The sequence below is a fragment of the Homo sapiens genome, chromosome 16 (genome assembly GCF_000001405.40).
Source record: "Homo sapiens chromosome 16, GRCh38.p14 Primary Assembly".
NCBI lineage: Eukaryota > Metazoa > Chordata > Mammalia > Primates > Hominidae > Homo > Homo sapiens.
Window position 1 is genome coordinate 67,137,014 of NC_000016.10, and position 14,848 is coordinate 67,151,861.

The following is a 14,848-nucleotide window of genomic DNA, read 5'->3' on the forward strand; positions in this document are numbered from 1 at the left end:
GCATGGTGGCAGGCGCCTGTAGTTCCAGCTACTCGGGAGGCTGAGGCAGGAGAATGGCGTGAACCCAGGAGGTGGAGCTTGCAGTGAGCCGAGATAGCGCCACCGCGCTCCAGCCTGAGCGACAGAGCAAGACTCCTTCTCAAAAAAAAAAAAAAAGAATCTGGTATATGAACTCTGAGCCCACTTCTGTGAACAGTTAGACAGTTCACAACCTTCACGTTACGAATTTCTTAAAATGTGATTTTCTAGCCAAGACAGAACAACCACTTAAAGGAGTGTCATGCTTAAGCTATGGTTTTGGGGTTTTTTGTTGTTGTTGTTTTTTGACAGAGTCTTGCTGTGTTGTCCAGGCTAGAGTGCAGTGGTGTGATCTCAGCTCACTGCAACCTCTGCCTCCTGGGTTAAAGCGATTCTCATGCCTCAGCCTCCCAAGTATCTGGGATTACAGACGTGTGCCACCACGCCAGGCTAATTTCTGTATTTTTAGTAGAGATGGGGTTTCACCATATTGACCAGGCTGGTCTCAAACTCCTGACATCAAGTGATCCGCCCGCCTCAACCTCCCAAAGTGCTGGGATTACAGGTGTGAGCCACCGCACCCAGCCTGAGCTATAGTTTTTGAGAGAATTGAGATGTGGCAGCAAAGTCAAGTGATTTAGTGTGGTTTTTTCCCAAGAGGATCACTGCTTGAAACAGCAGGGTGGTCAAGGATCAGGGTCATTAATCATCCCAGGAGACAGCAGGAGGAGCCTGTCGAGGGTGGGCTCTCAGCCAATTATGTCTGCCACCTTGTACAGCACATTCCCAGCAGTCACACTGCTCACTGCTTACACTGTCAGCAGGGCAAATGATTTGTTAAGTCAGGGCCTCAAAGGGTTATCGTCTTCACTGAGAGTTTCCTGTGGCAAGCACAAGTTTCTCAACCCACTCATTTCTCATATCCTTCCTTATGGAATATGGCTGCAGTGATGCTTTTAATGCAGGGAGTCAGTTCAGCCATCTGGTCTCCACAATAATTTGTAGAAAGATACACTTTGGGGAATCACAATCTAAAAAGTAGCTGAAACTCTTAGTAATTATACCTGGATATACTTCAAGCAGAGGGAGACAGAAGACTTACCTTTGAAGGGTGCCTTCCTTACAGCCCCCATCTGACATCCACACGTATCTGGTGCCTGAAGAAATGTGTTAGGCCACTGGATACTTTGGGCCCAGAGTCCAGCTTGACAGGACTTTTGGTGGGTTCTATAGGTCACCCAAGGCTTGCCTAAGCCTTTATTTCCCCCTCAGTGTATACTTGCTGAGAATAGAGATTCTTGGGTTAGTTGAACTCAGTATTTAGTTATTTCAGATTTGGGTTCTCTGAAGCTTCTGCATATAAAAAATGGATTGTTACACATGAGAGAACTTTGACAACTGTAAAGCCTTGTGCTGAGTAAGATGGTGTCAGTGATTATCATGGCACCAAGAATTACAATCCTTCTCAGATTCTTGGCTTCCTTTTTTTTTTTGCTGGGTGGTGGGAGCAAAAACCTTGTCTCCCCCTCCACAAAATGGGGAAATTTTTACTGTTGGTGTATCTATTACTGTGCCACAACCACTTCTACATTTGTGTGTTTGTGTGTGTGTCATTAACTGTAATCATTTCTGAAATGTTTTATTAGAAAAAGTCAGAGCTTAAAGATTCTTCCCAAAGAATAAACTTTTGGCAAATCAGAAGGTCTTTTATTCCTCCACTTAGCTGGTTTGTCCCTTTTGAGTGATAATGGCTCTTGTCTGGGTTGGAGGGCTCTGTCAGGTGTTTGTGTAGAATTAGGGAGACAAGTAATGCATGCTTCACTCTACTTGTTGATAGAGCAGTTTTACAGGTTCAGTGTCTCTGGTTAGGGGTTACCATTGAGAGTACTTTTGTAGTTTTTTTTTAAGACAGTGTCTCACTCTGTCACCCAGGCTGGAATGCAGTGGTGTGATCTTAGCTCACTGCAGTCTCTGCCTCCTGGGCTCAAGTGATCCTCCCACCTTAGCCTCCCAAGTAGCTAGGACTGCAGGAGTGTGCCACCACGCCTGGCTAATTTTTATATTATATTTTGTAGAGCCAGGGTTTCACCATGTTGCCCAGGCTGGTCTTGAACGCCTGAGCTCAAGCAGTTCACCCCGCTTGGCCTCCCAAAGTGCTGGGATCATAGGCAAGAGCCACCACACCCGGCCAAGAAGTACCTCTTAACATAAATCCTTGCATCTTACCATAGTTGTGTGATGATCTGATTAAGGTCTTCTCCAGCACACATAAGCTCCAGTGATGGAGCTTATGGAGAAAAAACAGCACTGCCTTTTTTTTTTTTTTTTTTTTTTTTTGAGACTGTCTCAGTCTGTCACCCAGGCTAGAGTGCAGTGGTGTGATCTTGGCTCACTGCAACCTCTGCCTCCTGGGCTCAAGTGATCCTCCCACCTCACCCTTCCAAGTAGATGGGACTACAGACACCCACCACCATGCCCAGCTAATTTTTGTATGTTTTTGTAGAGACGGAGTATCACCATGTTGCCCAGGCTGGTGTCAAACTCTGAGCTCAAACAACCCATCCGCCTTGGCCTCCCAAAGTGCTGGGATTATAGGCGTGAGCCACCACGTCTGGCCAGAAACTGCACTGTTTTTGTTCACTTTTGTTTCTTCAACATCTAGCACAATGTCCTAGCCCATGGTAGGCAATAAAGTAGTGAATGAATAAGTGAATGAAGTATCCAGAGCTTCATGTCACATGTGGGGGATTGAATAAGTCCCTGGCATTATTTTGAATAGCGATCTCTTGTACAGTCTTAAGCCCTGGTGACCTGATGTTTCTGATTGCATGCAGTCTTGCCCCTTGCCAGACCTAATAATGTAGCATGCAGCCAGTAGCTTCTCTGGGGCCCCCAGAGAGGGTCTCTGGTCCTAACCATAACCTGACAACCTCTCTGTCTTGTTTTTTGCAGGTTGTGGACCTGGCCTATTAGCAGATGCCAAGATGCGGGTATTTGAACGTTCAGTGTATTTTGGTGATTCCTGCCAAGATGTTCTTAGCATGCTTGGCTCTCCACACAAAGTCTTCTATAAATCAGAAGACAAGGTAGGGGAATTATGTTGCAGTCTCCTCCTTTTTTTTAATCAACACTAATTTAATATTGAGTATAAACTGTTTGCTATTTTCCCATAGAACTTGTTCTAAGTAAAGCTAATGGTAAAGTAAATTGAAAACTGTTTTCTAACCCCTGTAGTCCAATTACCCTGACTCTGTCCCTCTCCATAGTGCCTACCTTTCCTTAGAGACCAAGACAGTCCCTAGTCAACGACAGCTGGCCCCCTCTCCTCCTAGATTGGTCAGCACCAGCAGCTGAGACTCCCCACTCTTGCTTGTTCCGCAGCTTAATGTTACACATGGAACACAATTTGTAGACTTTCAGTTAATCCAGAACTATATTAGAGGGATGGATTTTAATTTATGGTTATTTTTTCCCTACAGATGAAAATTCATTCTCCTTCCCCTCATAAACAAGTTCCATCGAAGTGTAATGACTACTTTTTTAACTACTTCACTCTTGGAGTGGTAAGTTGTGATTCCTCAGAGAAGCCCTTCATTTCTATTGGGGTGGGCAGTGCATCTTTGCAGATCTGTGTGTCCACATGCAGCTGGAACCATGCCTGGACATTGGGGAACCTAGCCCCAGCTGTCTTTGCCCAGGGTTGTTTTGCATAGGCTCTGGTACTCCAAAGTAGACCTTGCCTGCAACCAGGATTGCTCAGGAACACTAGGTTCCCTGGTACCTGTTGACTTCTTTTCTGAGGGAAACATGTTCCACAGATGGAGGCCTTGGAAATCATTCAGATTAAGCTGTTTGGAGAGCTGCCCTTTTGTAAAGCATAGGACCCTCTTCTTGAGTCACAAAATGGAGACTGAAAAGGATTGGAGACAGTGGGGTGTGCTTGTATATTTTTAGAGGACCACCCCAGAGGCATTGCTGTATCCCTGTGCTATGGACCCAGGGAGCTGGATATAGCTGGTAGCTGGCCAGTGCGGACAGTCCAGCTGGTGGGTGAGTTGCATACATGAGAAATTATTGTATAAACAGTGTTTCAGCAGGAAACATCTCAAGAGGGCAGGGCTGGCCTGGACCATGGGTCTTGTAACCTTTGAGCCTTCTACGGTCTGAGGTCCTGAGGTAGCAAACAGTAGATTTCACAGAGGGAGTGAGGAGAGACTGAGTCTGCCTAAGTGGGAAAGACCAAACACAGGAGCCAAGAGTAGTAGGGGAGCTGATGTCCGGTCATGAACTCCTGAGAGTAGGATGGCGGCAGGAGGGAACAGTGCTGTTGCAGCTGGACCTCTGGTTCAAGGGCCAGTGATGATAGTATCTCAAGAAACTTAGGGTGTTGCTTTTCCAGCTGGAAACTACTTTGGCCGGTGGCACCTTTGCCCCAATTTTTGCTTGCTCCCGCTGGGCTCATTCAGCTCACTCAGCCTGGCAGGCTGCGCTTAGCTCATGCTACCAGCCTGGATCCCATGCCTGCCAAGGGCAAGCCAGGCATGGAGTGGCAAGGGGTGTGTGAGCGAGTGAATGTGGCATCCGGCCACTGTGCCCAGCCAGGCATGCTGACTGCTGTGGTGGGGCAGGCAGCTCCAGGCGCCAGCATAGGCACCAGCTCCACGTAAGGGTGAGGCTAGATCACGTGTACCGCAAGCGGCTTCCATTGCGGGCACCCATGTCTGGACAAGGAGAATGCGGTGGCACCCGGAAGCTTGGGGACACCAAGAACCACACAGAGCCCCAAACAGGGTGTCACAGCTCTGGCTCGGGGAGCTCCTAGGTCTGGGCTTCCTGAAGGGCTGCAGCTCTTCTCTTCTTGTCACCCACAATGTGGAAAGCGGGGCAGGGCATTTCAGCCTTATTTGTGTTACACCTCTTTCAGTCCCACCATTCGGTGGGTCCCGAGTTCTTGTCCTGCGGCCAGGAAGAATGAGGTATGCAGACAGCTGGAGGGTGAGCAAAAAGGAGAGGAGCTTTATTGGGCAACAGAACAGTTCAGAGGAGACCCATGGTGGGTAGCTCTTTCTGCAGGCAGGTCATCCTGACGAGTATCCAGCTCTCAGCAGAGAGAAGACCCATAGTGGGTAGCTTCTTTCTGTAGGCAGGTCATCCTGAGGAGTCAAGGAGTCCTGAAGTGGGTAGCTTCTTCCCACAGTTGGTAGTATTGACATCTGTCCAAGTCTGGCTGAATCCAGGGTTTTTATGGGCTCAGAAGGGAGGAAGTGCATGCTGATTGGTCCATGAGCAGGCCCGGAAAAAGCACCATAAATTCTCACTCCACCCACAGACTACCCAGAGCTGGCAGCCCGGCCCCCAGGCCTCAGGCCATCCCAGGCTTGAAGGTGGGGTTTCACCTCAGACCAAGCCCTTTCTGCCCAGGAGCCCTTCTGCTTCCTACCACCATCAGCGTGCCATCCATGGTGCCCATGCTGTTCATGCCGAGGCGGCAGGGGGCTAGTGTGTCAGTGCTGCCCTGAGTGCGTGCACTCCCAACCAGGTCGTGACAGCGCCTGGGCTCAGCCACAACTTTGCCCCTCCCCAGAGCAGGCACCGGGAGTGGGGAGAGGCTAGGTAGTGGGAGCAGGCACTTTCAAGCCTGCCGGGGCAAGGGGCCTTCTGGGCCCCTGAGAGTGCAGGGATGCCAGGGTCTGGAGCTGCAGCTGGGAGGCTGCAGCTACACCCAGGAGCATGGGCTCCTGCCCTGCCAACTTAGTAGAGGCCAGGGCTCTCACCTGTTCCCAGTTCCCATAGGCTCTGCATAGTTCTATGGGAAAACAGAGGTCCCGGCCACACTTCCTCTGCTCCAGTCGGCATCCTTGCAGCGGCCACTCCAGATGGGCCATTGCTGCCATCAATAGGTGACAGGGAAGATGGAGAGAATGGACTGGCCTCAGTAGGACTTAGTTGGCTGTGGGTACAGGGGTAGAGTCAGAGGTTACCCTGAGGTCACGGGCCCAAGCAGCTGGATGGATATGAAGCTGGAAAGGGTAGGGGATAGGAGGGAAGTGTTCACTGGGTGGCATCAAATCCAGGTCCAAGTCCTAGAGAGAGGTCAGGCTGGAACTTCAGTTCCTGGGGTTGCTGACTCCCACAGAGGGTGTAATGGAAGCCAGGAGGGTCTGATGGATTGTGGAATTCAGAATAGTCAAGTGGCCTTCAGCCCCTCAAGAACCAGGTGACTTGGCCAGCATGGTGGCTCACGCCTGTAATCCCAGCACTTTGGGAGGCCAAGGTGGGTGGATCACCTGAGGTCAGGAGTTCGAGACCAACCTGACCAATATGGTGAAACCCCCATCTCCACTAAAATTACAAAAATTAGCCGGGCGTGGTGGTGTGCACCTGTATTCTCAACTCAAGGAATCCTCCTGCCTTGGCCTCCCAAAGTCCTGAGTCTGCATCCTCGGATTCTCTTGGCTCTGCTGCTTACCATCTGGGCACCACGCTAGGTGACTTACTGCACCTCCTGGGGCCTTGGTTTCCTCATCTGTAAAGAGGAACCTGCCTTGAAAGTTTGTAAAGCACCTTTATTCAGTAAATCTTTATTGAGTACCTACTGTGTGCCAGGCACTACTCTAGGAGTTCGGGATACAGCAGTGAAGAACACAGACGGACAACCCTGCCCTCACGGAGCTTATATTCAGAGGGAAGAAAGCCACTTAGCAGGACAAAGAGCTAAAATGGATAGTACAGTGTGTTGAGAGGTAACACACATGACAGAAAAGATAAGGTATGGGGCCAGGCACGGTGGCTCACACCTGTAATGCCAGCACTTTGGGAGGCCGAGGTGGGCGGATCACCTGAGGTCAGGAGTTTGAGACCAGGCTGGCCAACATGGTGAAACCCCGTCTCTACTAAAAATAAAAATAAATTAAAAAAAAAACAGCCAGGCGTGGTGGTGGGCGCCTGTAATCCCAGCTACTCGGGAGGCTGAGGCAGGAGAATTGCTTGAACCCAGGAGACAGAGGTTACAGTGAGCTGACACAGTGCCACTGCACTCCAGCCTCCATGACAGAGTGAGACTCCATCTCAAAAAAGAAGAAAGAAAATGTCTAAAAGCTGCTTGGCCTGTCCCCTGGACTGTTGTCTGGAAGAAAGGTGATGCCTGCAGGCATTCTTGCTGTGGAGTGCACTGGATGTCCCAAGTTGGACATGCCTTTGGAAAGGCCTCTGCCCTGCCTCAGTAACATTCCCTCCTTGAGTACCCTTGTTTTCTATCCCAGGACATCCTCTTTGATGCGAATACACACAAAGTGAAGAAGTTTGTTCTACACACCAATTACCCTGGGCATTATAATTTCAACATGTGAGTACACCTGTCTGTACCTCCCCTCTGTGAAGTGAGTTTTGGGCTGAAAACCCCAGGAAAGAGCTTTTGGCTTTGGGTGTTCACTAATTTATCTACACCTGAATTCTTGCTGTTTCATGGGAAGTGAATTTCCTGAGTGCTTGCTGTGTTCCTGGCACAGGGTCCAATGCCTTACATCTCTCTGTTTGAACCCATTTTACAAATAGGGAAATAAGTTCAGAAAGCTTGATGTCTTATCCAAGGTAATAGGCTCTCCAGAACCCAGGGCCAAGATCTTTTCTGTTCGACTTCCGTGCCTAAATCTGGCCTCCCCCAGTGAACACTGTCAGGCACTCAGAGCCAGGGCTTTGGGCAGGTGTGTTTGGTTCTGTTTCTCCTGGGGTGTGGGGTTGGAATATGGGAGTGGCCAGGCCTTCTAGGAGGCCCAGCCTTTACCCATTTGCCTTCTCTCTAGTTATCATCGCTGTGAGTTCAAGATCCCACTAGCCATAAAGAAAGGTGAGTAGTGAAAGCTCTCAGGGTAAGGGAGGGGTTTTAGAGTCTGTTTTCCACTATGAAAAGGGAGAAAGATCGAAGCAGTGGTTGGATGTGTGGAGCTTCTGCCCATGGCCTCAGTTCCTCTGGGGTGGGCTCATTGTTCTGGGGGCTGCAGTGTTCTTGGTCTGAGTCTCCTAGAGGCCCTTGAGGCCTCTTCCTATGACTGTGGGATTGCCGGCCTCTGGAGGGGAGAGTTTCTTATCTACAGATGATCATCCAGGGGGCCCCAGCCCATCCTTGTTGCCTGCCACCCACTGCCAATTGTTGTTGCTCACACCTGACTGACCTCCCTTCACCCCTCCATCCTCTTCCACCCTGGAACTCCAAAACAGCCTGTTAATCCTCCCCATGTACTCCAACCCCAGTGCAAAGGGACACCAGGTCTGGTTCCTACCTAGGGCTGGGGCCACAGGTAGGCTGGGCCAGCTACAAATCTGCCCCACTGTCTTCTCTTTTCAGAAAACGCAGATGGTCAGACAGAAACATGCACGACCTACAGCAAGGTGAGCACCTATCTTCCTACCTGGCATAGCCTGAGAATGAGGTGGACATGAGCCTGCAGGCAGTATGGGGCTGTGTCCTCTAGGCCAGCCATTGGTCACAGACATGTTCATGTCCCTACTAACCCCTGCTCCCCTCTATCCCTCTTGCAGTGGGACAACATCCAGGAGCTCCTGGGCCACCCTGTGGAGAAGCCTGTTGTCCTGCACAGGTGAGTGGGAGTTTGATGTCCCCGGCCACCCCACCTGACTCCTCAGAGCCCAGAAAGCCCAGGGAAGCCTGGCACAGTGGATGTTGCTTAAAAATTACAGAAGTTTCTGATATTGCCACAAGCATACTTCCTGCCCCACTCTGCACATTAGGACTGAGTCAACTGTTCTGTGTGTTCATCTTTGATAGAGAGAATGTCCCCAGGGGTAGCTCCCCTCTCCCAAGCCTACCTCTAGGTATGGGGGCCTTCTCACCCTCAGTTATTCAATAAGGAAGGAGGGCTTGGCTGGCTGGCCTGGGCTCTTTTTCCCTTTGAGCTTTGAGCTGCTGCCTGCTGAAGTCCACAGCCCCGTTCCTGGTTGCCATGCTGCCTGAGATTCTCTCACTCAAGAGGGCCCTCTTGACTCCTCGCCACCCTAGTCCAGTTCCACAGTAACTTTTTTGTCCTGTTGGGCTCTGTATGTATAATTCTGAGTTGAGTGAGACCATCCCTACCCCTAGGATCTTGCAGGCCTGTGTGGGAAACAGACAGACACTCACAGCCATGAGAGACTACTGGCCAGTATCCCATACCCCAGAAAAGACTGGATCCCTTGCTTTAAGGCCGTGGCCTCTGTCTGCCTCTCTAATTCTGAATTCTTTGGCCTCAGGTCTTCCTCCCCAAACAACACCAACCCATTTGGTTCCACATTCTGCTTTGGTCTTCAGCGAATGATCTTTGAGGTAAGCTGTGGAAGCCCTAGAAATAAACTGCCTGGGGGGTTGCTGGTCATGGCAGGGCCAGGTGAATGATGGAGGGAAATTGGGGAGGGCATCACTGCCATAGTGGGCAGATTCATCCTTCTTCAGCAACCGTGTCTGCTGCATACCTGGCCTCCCCACACTTAACAATGAAGGTTCAGAAATGATGTTGAGAAATCTGGGGTCACAGAGGCCGAAGCAGTGGTCTGTGTCCAACAAGATGGGAGGTAACGGATCCCAAGTTTCTATCTGACAACATGATTATAGCAGGGAAGGGAACCACAGGGCAAGTGGGGCCCAGCAGAGGGTGTTGGGGGCCCTCCAGTGGCATGTGAACAAATGCATTGTAGGGGAGTGAGTGGCTCTGGAGGCCCTGCTGACTTGGGAGAACAGCAAGCTGCCCTTGTTTTCCCTGTGGATGCAGTATCTCCAGCAGACACTTAACAGTTCCAGAAGGACTGGACACGTGGCCATGGTAAAGGCTGTGTGTAACCATTGAGAAACAGGCAGATCTCAGGCAGAGGGGGGCCTTTAGCATGAACCAGGGGAGGTTGAGGAGTCGGGAAACCCAGCCATTAGGTGCAGGTATGTCACACAACCTCCAGCCCTCATGCACAGGATCTGCCTACATCCCTTTACCTCTCCCCCTTGACCCACTGTCCTCTTCTCACACCAGGTCATGCAGAACAACCACATTGCCTCGGTGACCCTGTATGGCCCCCCCAGGCCTGGTAGCCACCTGAGAACAGCGGAACTCCCCTAGGGACACCACCACCCATGCCCCTCTGTCCCGTGGAACTGTGCATCACATCCTGCTCAGTGGGCCTCTGTACCACCCTGTGGGTTTTCTTGGACACCTGGCCAGTGCTGAAGGGCTGTTGTGATGTTCTGAGGTTGGGCTCAGGCTGGGTGCTCTGCCATGGGCTGAGTGGCCCAGATATTCTTCTGTCCATCTTTGGCCTGCTGGTGCCAGCAGGGGACACAGACTGCAAAGAGAAGCACAAAGTTTGAGCCTTGATTCCTGGACCCAGGAGCTCTCAACTAACAAGGAGGCAGGAGAGGTCAACCCTTGTCCCATGCACATTGGGAAGACTTGGGGCTCTTTCTGTGACTGAGGACACAGGCACCCAGGATAAGGACAAGGTCCTGCCTTTGGCTCCACATTGCCACATGACCCTTAAGGCAAGCAGGTAGCGTGTCCATAGTACTTGGTTGCGACATTTGCACTACATCCACTTTAGTTACTTGATGAGCTGGCTGTGGCCAGGGTGGCCCACCTGCCCTTCCCTGTTCCTTTCTTGCACGCGCTCCCTGCCTGGGCACACCAAACTGGTTGAAACACAGCTTTCTACCATCCAGGTACATGCCCAGGCCTGGTTCTCACCCCTGTTGGAGTCAGCTTTCAAGATTGCCTGTGCCCCTGCTCTGCCCCATCCTGGCTGGCAGGGCTGCATGTTTCCATCCTGTTTGCCTCTTTTATTTAATGCCAAAGTTTTAGCCAAAGACATCTTCCTACTTTTGTTGTGTTTCAGCATTCTGTTCTGCACTGTGGGCTGGCTCTCTGCCCCAACCCTGGGCACTGGCCCCTGGCTGGGCCATTTCATGGCTCAAAGCCTCTGGGGGCTCAAGGAAGGCTGGGCTGCTCAGTCCCTTCATGGGTCTTGCTAATGGAAAGTAGCATATATGTGCTTTAAAAATATTAATCCTTTTGAAAAGAACTGAGAAGAAAAATGTATAATTTTATCCCATTTTTAATATTTTGGTCTAGCAACTTGTGATACATAGATGACAATTTTGTGAGTTTTTCAAATGTGTGTACAGATTTTTGTAAATATGACTCTTTTGTAATTAACTCATGTACAGCCTCATCCTGTATAGTTTAATGATGAATGTGCAGGGGACCTGTCTCAGGCTCCTATATGGTTCCTGGGCCTTATAGCCAGGTTTGTGTGGCGCTCCCGACTTTTGTGACTGACTGGTGTCTTCCCATTTGGACTGTGGCCTGGCCAGAGCCCCTTGCATATCCCCACTGTCAGGGGCAGCCAGGACTGTTCCCATCCTCCTGGAATGGGGGAACCTTCCTTATCCCCTGCCCACATCCCCTCTCCAATAAAGCACCTGTGCCCTCAGCAATGGCCTGCCATGTGCTGTTGCTGGGATGTTTGTATTAAGGTAAGTGTGGGTATTGGTTTTTTGAGCAAGGGGGTGGTTGAAGCATATGGGGAAATTAATAGTGGTGGCATCTCAGGGGAAGACATTCCTTGGCTCCTCTGAGGGGATACAGCCTCCAGTGGGAGACTGGCATTGTTGTGTGAGTTCAGGAGGTGAGGAAAGACTAGGTAGGACCGTGCACTCATTTGTCCCTTATGTGTGGCTCCATCCCTGGTGCTCAGCCACACCTGGGCCCAGGAGAGGTTGTGGGAAGCATAATATCTGTTTTCAGATGAGCTATGGCAAAGTGCCTGCCAGGTTCATGAATTCAGGCTGTGGCGGCCGGAGCCCCTCCACCTCCCTGTGGGGCCTGGCCTTGAGAGCCTCTGCATACGTCCGCGTCAGCCTAGGGGGTTCCAAATCCAGCAGAGTGGTAGGATTCCCTAAGTCCCTGCCACCACACCAGAACACACCTCTGTGCTACTAGGAGGACCAGACATATCCACTGCTCTGGGACCTGTTGGACAAGAGATGGTCATCTACCACCCAGCCTTGGCTCGCTCAAAGGGTCACCATTACACGGGTTTCAACTGGTTCCAGCAGGGTGGACCGCCAGGAGCCAAGCTTAACCCCCATCCCCTGGGATCCTGTGGAGACAGGCACCTGGTGATCAGGGAAGAACCACATACACGGCAATAATCTGGGAAACCGGCTCCATTCTGGGTCTGAGTTAGGAGCTTGGGGCTGTAGTGGGGAGCTAGGAGTCCCATTGGAAGGGGCCTGCAGCGACAGGCTGTGGATGCGCACAGGCTGGCCCATGCGGCCCGTGCAGCAGGCGCCACATAAGCCAGATGTCAGCGGCCGAGAGCCCGTGCACTACAACCAGCTCACGGTAAAAGCAGGGGTCGAAGGTGCTCAAATGCGGCGCGGCTGAAGGCTGGGGGATGCCAAAGGTGCGGAAGGCAGGGTGAGGCTCGGGCGTGAGCCGCAGGCGCTGCAGACACATGCCCAGAAAGACGTCGTCGATGGGGAAGAGCTCGACCTGCGCACAGGCGCCAGCCAGGCGGTGCAGCGTGGCCCCGGAAAGCACAAAGCCACCGCCGCCCGCGTAGGCCGGATAGGCGGGCAGGCCGTACACGGCCTCGGGGATGTAGTACTTGCTAGCCCGCGTGCGGATGGGCCGCGCATGCACAATTACGTCACCAGCAAGCAGGTCTTGCGCCGGGTCCCGCGGCGCCAGGAACTCCAGGAGATTTCCCACGTTCACGAACACATCTGCGTCGCCCTTAAAAACGAAGCGCACGTCGGGGCAGAAAGCTGAGGCCCAGGCTAGAAAGTGGATCTCCTTGAGCGTTAGGTTAAAAAAGGTGTCGTCGAAGGCCCAGAGCAGGATGTCCGCATACGCAAGGCTCTCGGCCCGCAGCAGGGCGCGCCAGTGGGTTCGCGCGCCCTCCCCAACTTCGTCGGCCCCGCCCGAGCCTGCGCCCCTGGGCACGCCCAGCAAGAACACGCGGCGCACCAGCGCCCCCTGCACGCGACCCTCCGCGCCCCACGTCTGGCGCACGGCTTGGCGCCGCTCGAAGTCCTCTGCCACCGACTTGACAGCAATAAGCAGGTCCGGGCGGCCACCGGGTGCGCCGTCGCCGCGGCACTTGTGCGGCTGGTTAATGAGCAGTGGAAACCGCCGCTGGTCCTTGGCGCGCAAATAGCGGGCGAAGTCAAAGGGTCCCGTAGGCGTGGGCGGCGCCGGTGTGTCCCCTTCGTAGGCCGGCGGGGCTGCACCCGCGTCGGGTAACTGGAACGCGCGGGGTCCGGGGGTGGGCCTCGGTGCCGCCCTCCCTCGCCCTCGCGGCGCGCTCGCCGTCGGGGCCGCGCCGTCGCGCTGCGCATAGAGTAAGAGGCCCAGGGAGGCGCCAAGGAGCAGCGTGAGCAATGCGTCCCTGCGTAGGCGCAGCCTCCTCCTCATCTCCGCGCGGCCTGCGCCCTCCCTCCCCTGTAAGGGTCGCAGTCGGCAGCAGGGGGCAGCGAGCCCCGCCCTCCCCAGCTGAGGGGGCGGGAGGCCACGCCCCGGGGGGGGCTCCAGCGACCGACGGTTGAGCCCCTTGCGTTGTTCTCCTCCTCCCGGCCGTGTCGCACCGCCGGGACCGGCAGCCTGAAGGGACAAGAAGTTCACCCATGTAGCCAACTCCCCCGCGGCCTCAGCTCCGGCCCAGGACTGCGACCCAGGGCCGGGCAGGGAGACTGGGAGCCTCGGCCCCTCCCCCGCCCGCCTCCCTCGCGCTGAGGCCGAATCCCTTCCACCCTGCCATCCCCTCAATGTCGGGCCCTGGGGTCCCGACACTCACGCTCGGCCCTCGGAAGTGGCGCAGCCCCGGACGCCCTGGCCTCCGGGGCTCAGCGCAGGGTCCGAGGGGCCGCCATGGACCGGGCCCGAGCCAAATGCAGCGTTGGCAGGAAGGGGGACCGGTGCCGTGCCACGTGACCCTCCAGCTGTGCGCGCCCAGACTTCTGGAGCTCAGCTCCGCCCCGGCGCCAGGAGCACTCCGGCCTCAGAGTGGGGACTAATCCCTGAGAGGGAGCCTCCTCACTCTCAGTCCCTCTGGGAAGGGCTGGTCTGGGTGCTCACACCCCAAATTCGCCTTTCTGGGGATTGGGAAGAAGCATCAACTCCCCTGGTTAGCTCCCCCAACTATCCACTCCCCACTCCCGCGTCTCTGGAGTGGGGCGGAGCCTGGGCTGCTAGGAGCCCCTGAGCAGGCCGGTTCCAAATGCGCATGAACCTGGCCACCATCCCGGGCGGGCCTCTCCTCAGCAGCCCTGATTCCATCAGGCAGGGTGCATACGCTGCCCCCGAGACACATGGCTGTCTTCTTACTCCTGGTTCTGCCATGCTCCCCACCCCCAGTAAACACACGCACGGGACAAACAAGGCAGCCCACCCAATCCTCAGGGCAACTCTGCCAGCAGCTCTCATTCATGCCCAGATGGGGACACTGGGGGGCTCTTCGGGGAGTTAAGTGACTTGCCCAGGATCCAAAGGCCAGAAAGCTCTGCCCCCAGGTCTTCTGAAATTCAGGCCAGGATTATTTTATCTGTCCTTGCCCCGCTCATTCATCCACTGGGATACAGAACAGGGGGCCAACCCAGTCTGCTTTAATTTCACAGGCAAGCACTTCAGCCTGTCTCCCCGGGGGCTAATGGACCTGAGCCCAAGCCAGGTGCAGTTCTGAGTCCCCTGGTCCCCAGCATAGCCTACTGCAGGTAGAAATGATCAGGCCTGTGCAGCTGCAGGTCAGACAGGGCTGGCAAGGATGGGGACAGCTTGGGAAGACTCCTGGCGGA

At 53.6% G+C, this 14,848-nt stretch overlaps 2 protein-coding genes across 10 annotated transcripts in view, besides 2 other annotated features; one reads left to right on the forward strand and one right to left on the reverse strand.

The window, feature by feature from the left end:
* The window catches only part of PHAF1 (phagophore assembly factor 1), a 38,604-nt gene extending 27,073 nt beyond the window's left edge, over positions 1-11,531 (forward strand). For all 9 annotated transcript variants that reach the window (NM_025187.5, XM_006721284.4, NM_001320541.2 and 6 more), the window contains 8 exons: positions 2,971-3,104; positions 3,498-3,581; positions 7,281-7,363; positions 7,821-7,864; positions 8,363-8,406; positions 8,557-8,615; positions 9,265-9,337; positions 10,032-11,531. In NM_025187.5, coding sequence (NP_079463.2) covers positions 2,971-3,104; positions 3,498-3,581; positions 7,281-7,363; positions 7,821-7,864; positions 8,363-8,406; positions 8,557-8,615; positions 9,265-9,337; positions 10,032-10,118 — 608 coding nt within the window. In that variant the 3' untranslated portion in view covers positions 10,119-11,531. The remainder of the gene's footprint in view (positions 1-2,970; positions 3,105-3,497; positions 3,582-7,280; positions 7,364-7,820; positions 7,865-8,362; positions 8,407-8,556; positions 8,616-9,264; positions 9,338-10,031) is intronic.
* Positions 11,091-13,985, reverse strand: B3GNT9 (UDP-GlcNAc:betaGal beta-1,3-N-acetylglucosaminyltransferase 9). The gene is made up of 2 exons (NM_033309.3): positions 13,852-13,985; positions 11,091-13,658 (listed from the first exon to the last, which is right to left on the reverse strand). The coding sequence occupies exon 2, from the start codon at positions 13,470-13,472 to the stop codon at positions 12,264-12,266; it is 1,209 nt and encodes a 402-aa protein (NP_171608.2). The 5' UTR covers positions 13,473-13,658; positions 13,852-13,985; the 3' UTR covers positions 11,091-12,263.
* Positions 13,341-13,770: a silencer, noted in NCBI's record as "silent region_7580". NCBI's record gives its function as "represses an Ori minimal core promoter by ATAC-STARR-seq in GM12878 lymphoblastoid cells {active_cell/tissue: GM12878}" and the evidence as "EXISTENCE:reporter gene assay evidence [ECO:0000049][PMID:35858748]".
* Positions 13,781-13,940: a silencer, noted in NCBI's record as "silent region_7581". NCBI's record gives its function as "represses an Ori minimal core promoter by ATAC-STARR-seq in GM12878 lymphoblastoid cells {active_cell/tissue: GM12878}" and the evidence as "EXISTENCE:reporter gene assay evidence [ECO:0000049][PMID:35858748]".